The sequence below is a fragment of the Homo sapiens genome, chromosome 9, assembly GCF_000001405.40.
Source record: "Homo sapiens chromosome 9, GRCh38.p14 Primary Assembly".
NCBI classification, from domain to species: domain Eukaryota; kingdom Metazoa; phylum Chordata; class Mammalia; order Primates; family Hominidae; genus Homo; species Homo sapiens.
Genome location: NC_000009.12, coordinates 30,687,846 through 30,694,258, shown reverse-complemented (window position 1 = coordinate 30,694,258; position 6,413 = coordinate 30,687,846). Strand labels below are relative to the sequence as shown.

General features: G+C 37.2%; 1 pseudogene; it reads right to left on the bottom strand.

The window, feature by feature from the left end:
• RBMXP2 (RBMX pseudogene 2) lies at positions 3,299-5,309 on the bottom strand (annotated as a pseudogene).

Genomic DNA, 6,413 nt, shown 5'->3' with positions numbered 1-6,413 from the left:
CAAAGTTACTATTTGGTTGCTTATGTGCTAACTTGATAAACATTTGAATGCCGCCTTTTTATTTGTATTGATAACATAATGAGTTTTATAAGAATATTGAACATTAAATAATTTAAAGCATAGAATAAAGAGCATGGGCATGCACACATATAAATTTGTGCTTTATAAAATGATTATTACAAGGATCTCATATATAGGGTTCCATGCATAACATGTTGATGTTTTTAATATAAATTATTATGCATACTATTTTATTTGCTTTTAAATTTATAAAATCAAGTATTTGAAGCATGAAAAATAAAATAAATAGAAAATGTTTCTATTTATTTCTGTAACTATCAATCTTTCTGTTACCTGGCTGCTTTGATAGTAGTAAACAAAATGATTTATGTTTTCATGTTTATTTTGTATAATCTCAAGATGCATATTTACCAATTTCCTTTTTGAAATCTATTGTGATGATTCAGTGGTATGTTGTCTACTAAGAGTTTGACCCTTAATTTCACATCATCTGCAAAACATAGCTGCAGAAATTGGGTTTCCATTAAGAAATTGGAGAAATTAAATCCTTTGTTGAAACATTTGTATAATGTTTGATATTGGTCTATAAATTTCTTGGTATGACAACTGACACATAGTGACAGAAAAATAAATTTATTTTTACTTGTCCTTATGTTATTAAAAACAGAATTTAACACATAATGATTTGCTAATTAAATGGGATCATCTATGCCCACACTCACATGGCACCCTAAGTACTGAATAAATGAAGTTTCCCTTGTTTGTTTATTCATAAAATCTCTATGTAATGTATTATGCTGCATTTGAGTCTTCCTCAGTGTTTAACAATTTATTTCTAGCTATTTTTCTAATATATTAATGAAAAGTTTTATATTTAATGCACTTACCAGATACAAAGAGAGCTTTTCCCTTCAAAATAGGTCATTCCATTCCTCACCATTCCTATTGATGTTATTTCTGGTTGTGTAGTTTCTCAAACACTGTTTAGTTTCTACACAGTCTTTTTGGATCAGACCAACTTCTAAAAAGGAAGCTCAGCTTCTCATAAGGAAGCTCATGACTATATGAAAATTCAATCTACACACACAATTAGGAGTTTTAAATTCTCCAATCATGTGAGTTTTCAGAATTTGACTACCTTAATTTTGAATTAAACATTGAAAATATTTCACGACTTGACACATAATAGGTTTAAATCTAGTGACCTTTATTATATTTCCTCAGAGTTATAAATTATTTTATGACAGAGAGATATAATTTAATTATTACATTTTATCTTGTATACTATATACATGATACATATTAAACAAATTTTCATTTAATCAAATATTAATTTTTTTATTCATACCACATATTATGACTTTGTGGAACATAAAAGATAAGTATGCCCCATAAAGAGTTCCATAGTTTTACAATAATGCATGGATTTCAACATACAATTAAACGCTTATAGTGAAGTAATTTATGGCAGCTATATAGTGACTAGCTCTGTGCCATCTATCGATCCATTCTTTCAAGGATCCGTTTTTTTTGGTGGTCCCATAGAGGATGGGACTGACCTTTACCCAAATTTTGTTTGATGTTGAGATGGACACATGCCAAGATGTTATAAAAAGATGTGTTACTCACATATTGAGGCTTTTTGATAGCAGAGAAGACTCCTATGTTAGTGAAAAAATGACTTCAACAAAGGAAAGAGCAAGTGGCTTGTGTGTGTGTGTGTGTGTCTGTGTGTGTGTGTGTGTGTGTAACAGATAGTGGGCCCTGAGTCAGAGTTGTGACACACTGGTTGGGTTTGTCTTGCTTGAATGTCCTCGTTGGTTTCAAGGGAGTGAGTATCTGGCCTTTCTTAACAACTTGTCCAGATGTGAGACAAAAGGGAAACAACAAGATATAAAATTTATTGGGAGTCAAACATCCAAAATTAAGTTACATTATTTTCTACCCTTGATGTTTAAATTTGAACTTATTTAAGTAAGGCATTGAAGCACACAGCTTGAAACCAGTAAGAAAGGTTAATGTCCTGTTGAATGCCACGTAATGGAGCCAATCATTTGGCATTTTGTGAAGGAGAATGTGTGTCTTGGTCACTATAAATGATGTCTTGAACTTTGAAGGGAATAGTTTCTTGTCAATGACTTGTGCTGTGGCTTTAGAATGTGCAGAGATGTGTGTGGCTTTAAATTATATTTTTGGCTATCTGTTAGGGCAAGAAATTACCAGAGTTCTTTACCCTAAAGGAGCAACTTGAATAAAGAATTGTTGCCATTGGTTGGACCAGAACTCAGGCTATTAGCAATGGCCCAAGAGTCTATAAAATGTGTAGATGGAGCCTATTGTTGGCCAGGGAATCCTCTAACACTAAGGCAACTGCCTGAAATTTAGCCAATACTTCTGACCCTTGGGTATTACCCTTAATGAGAGATATCCTGGTTAGGAGATGGAAGGCAGCAGCTCTCCAATGGCTTTCATCATGCACGATGATATCATTGTCATACATACAGTATGCAGGACTCCATTTTCTGTCCACTTAGTTTATCCCAAGTTGTTCTCCAGTTGAATGACAGGCCTGAAAGAGGTGTGGCCTTCTATTGTTTCACTGCATCTAGCAAGGGAAGCAATTTCTAATTCTAGGTGGGATGAATATTCCAGAGGTCTTAGATTCTAGTCTATCATTTAAAGTACCACTTTCTCTTCCATAGCACATGAAAATCTTTCATGCTTTGGCATATTATGGGATTAAATTCAGAAAGTTTTTTTTTTTAAATCTGCCACAGTTGCTGCCTCCATGACTCAGTCATAGTGGGCAGCCAGGTATGGAAAGTCATAGTCTCAAGGCATGTAATAGTATCCATTCCCAGAAGAACCCAGCAAGCAGCTATCAGATAATGCTCTAATGGTATGTAGCGCAGGGCCAAGAAGGTCAGTTTTTGTATCAGAAGTCCATTGTTGGAAAAGAGATTCCAGCAGACATGAAAGGAAATCACTAAAGCCTCTACAAGAAAAAACTCTGAGGGACAGAGGAAGTCTAACAGGAATGTCTGTTGTATTGCAATTTGGACAGATTCTGGAGTTTTCTTTTTAGTAGCAGTCTCATTTTAAAATGACTGAGTTAGAAATATTAGCATAAATAAGCTTAAATGTAATTCCTAAATGGGGACTAGGTTGTCTCCAGAAAGCAAATGACTTACATAATATTGGGCTTGTTTAAATGTTGTGAGTTCTAAGGGGGTAAATAGTTATTTCTCACATATTTCTTTTTTCTTTTTTTTTTTTTTTGGTTTTGGCCAAACTTTTTATTTAGTATTCTGTAGTTGTTTAACACACACTTAAATGGTCTTATTGGGGGAGGGGGAAAGGGAGGTTCTTGCAGATTCCCAAGGAAATGTCAGAAAGGCAAAATGGCCAGCATCATCCATTTGCTTTTTTGGGTTTACTGGGTGAATAGCACTTTCCTTACAAAGGCATGTGATTTCAGGTTTTTCATACTGAAAACATTGAGATTTCAGTTGGAAGACACCCTGAAATCTTATGAGTAGCATACCCCAACCACCCTCTAATAGCTAGCTTGTTTGTATAGGTAGAATGATTCATCTCTCCATTTTAGATGGCTAGATGTTTTGTGGAAGATCTTAGAATTGCCTGCCTCATTTACTGGGAAAAATCAGATAGGAAGTGGCCTTTAGGGATACTTTTACTTGGAAAGTTACAACACCAGTACAAGTCTTAACACATTTAACGTTTGCTTGTTGAAAAGCAATGCAAAAGTCAAAATAAAATTAAACATGTTTTACTTTTCTCCTCACAAGAACATAAAAATTATGGAGGGGAACTTAACAGGGAATTTTTAAAAAGTAACACAATTTTTCCTTTTAGTAGTCCTTGGGTAGTTATGATAGAATAGCTTCCACTTTTTGTTTCTTTGAACTGGGATTTTGGTCCAAAGTTTTGTTTGTTTCTAGTATCTGCTTCTACCTCCCCCTCTATCAGATCGGCTTCCTCCACAGCCACCACCGCTTGGTGCTCCGCACTTGAACTGCTGTAGGAATCACGTGGAGGAGGGTATCCTCTTTCCATAGAAGGGGTAAGCCCTCTTTCTTGTCTGCCAACCCGATCACGACCACTTGAGTAGAGATCACTTCGGCTGCTTGAGTAACTGTCTCGACTTCCACCATATCCGTCACATGAGCTGCTGTAATCATCATAGCGACTGCTTCCACCATAAGATGGTGGGGGCCCTCGTGTAGGTGGAGCACTACGTGAGTTACCATAACTCTCATATGAATCTCTGTAGGAACCTCCACCTGGATGATCTGAATAGTCATGATCACGACCATATCTATCTCTATCGCTATAGCCTCTTTATGGATAGTCAACACGTGAACTGGAATGACCATAATCACGGTAAGTATAATCTCGTGGTGGTGGTGCATAAGCTCTAGTATCATGAGAACTTGGGTAATCTCTGCTTGAATAGCTGTCTTTAGTAGAATACCCATCATCTCTTGGGGACAAATAATCATTTCTACAAGAGGGCAGCAGTTCCCTTCGAGGTGGACCTCCGTAACTATCTCTTCCACGTGATACAGGAGCTCTTCCTCCCATTTCACTGCTACTGCGAACTGGTCCTGAAGGTGCAGATCTCTTAGAAGGAGGACTCCCACTTCTTGGTGGTGGTCCTCTTTTTACTGGATGTGGTCCCCTGGAAGAACTCATGTTAAAATTCATGGAATATCCACCGTCATCCATGTGTCCTCCCCGTGAGGGAGGTCCCCTTGTTCCTCCACTTCCTCCTCTTCCACCTCTAAGACCTCTTGGAGGGCCTCTACTTCTTGGAGGTGGAGGCGGTCCACGTCTACCACTTTCAAATGATGGTTTGTTGGCTTGTTCCACCTCGATGGCTTTTCCATCTAATGACTTTCCATTCATGTCTCTGGCTGCATCCTTAGCATCTGCTGGGCTTTCAAAGGTGACAAAAGCAAATCCTCCTGATTTGTTGGTTTCATGGTCTTTCACCAAGAGTACTTCCACTATTCGTCCATATTTGCCAAATACTGCTTCAAGAGCTTTCTCATTTGTTTCCGTGTTAAGCCCACCAGTGAACGGCTTTCCTGGGCAATCTGCTTCAACCATTTTTTTTTTTTTTTTTTGCCGGTGAGTCGGAGGGGTGACAATGGGTTCAAGCTCCAATGAGCTCGCCGATAGGGGCTTCCTAACAGCTCAGCACCAGTGGCGGCTGCCGGGTCCGAGGACCGAACCGTGAAGCCGCTAGCACTACTGCACAACGAAGTCTCCTATATTTCTTAAAAGTGTCAAGAAATAATTTGACCAAATAAAGCCTAGAAATGTTTATTGAGGTGGCAGGACCGTTTACTTTGGGTCAATGGTTCATCAGGTTTTCTTGTTTTGTGTGTGTGTGAGGGAGAGAGAGCTCCTTTTTGAGTGTTTTTATGTCCTGAAAAAGTGCATAAAATGCATCATATATTTATAAGAGTCTTCCTTCAGAAATTTCCAAATCTGTATCATTATAGTTACAGGCCTTTCCAGTGGCAAATGTTGCTTTATTGGGTTTATGAATTGAGCATAAATTAGCTCCCTGGCATGTTTATGAGCCGTGATACTCAAGGGGATTGGTGCCCCTATAAAAGATACTTGAGGGAACTTCCTTGCCCCTTTTTGCCCTTTCACCATGTGAGGACACAGCAACAAGGTGCCATCTTGGAAGCAGAAAACAAGACCTCACCAGAAACCAAATCTGCTGGATCCTTGATCTTGGACTTCCCAACCTCTAGAACTGTAAGCAAAAAAAAATCAGTAGTTTATTAATCACCCAGTCTAAGACATTTGTTATGGCAACCTAAATGGACTAAGGCAACATGTAAGGTAACACAATAACAGGTTTGATATGTTACATTTATAGTCCCAATTTTTAATCATACTGCGTTAAACTCTAAGTCAGCCATAGTTGCAAAAGGCACACGAGTATGACATTGAATAATTGTTCAGTTCATTCAGAAAAAAATAATTGAGATTGAAATTTATGTGAATTGACCAGGAAGTTGCATCAAAATTATCAAACAAATCCAAAATCTTAATTACTAGAGTCTTTATATCTCAAAAAAGTTTTTTCAATTAAAAATATTTCAGAATTTCAAAGTTAATGCCATCTTTGGCATTCTGCAGCTATTATTCCTTCATTCCAAGTATTCCAATTTTTTTCTGCAGTTTTCACTGCTTAAAAGTGTGAGTTATCAAATATTTTAATTCCTCCCCCAAAATTCTGATAATTACTAAATGTTCTTCCCATTGACATAATTTATGTCTGTCTCTCTTGATTATGGGCCTCTGTGAATTCATAATCAATAGAACATGGTAAAAGTAGGTTATTTCAA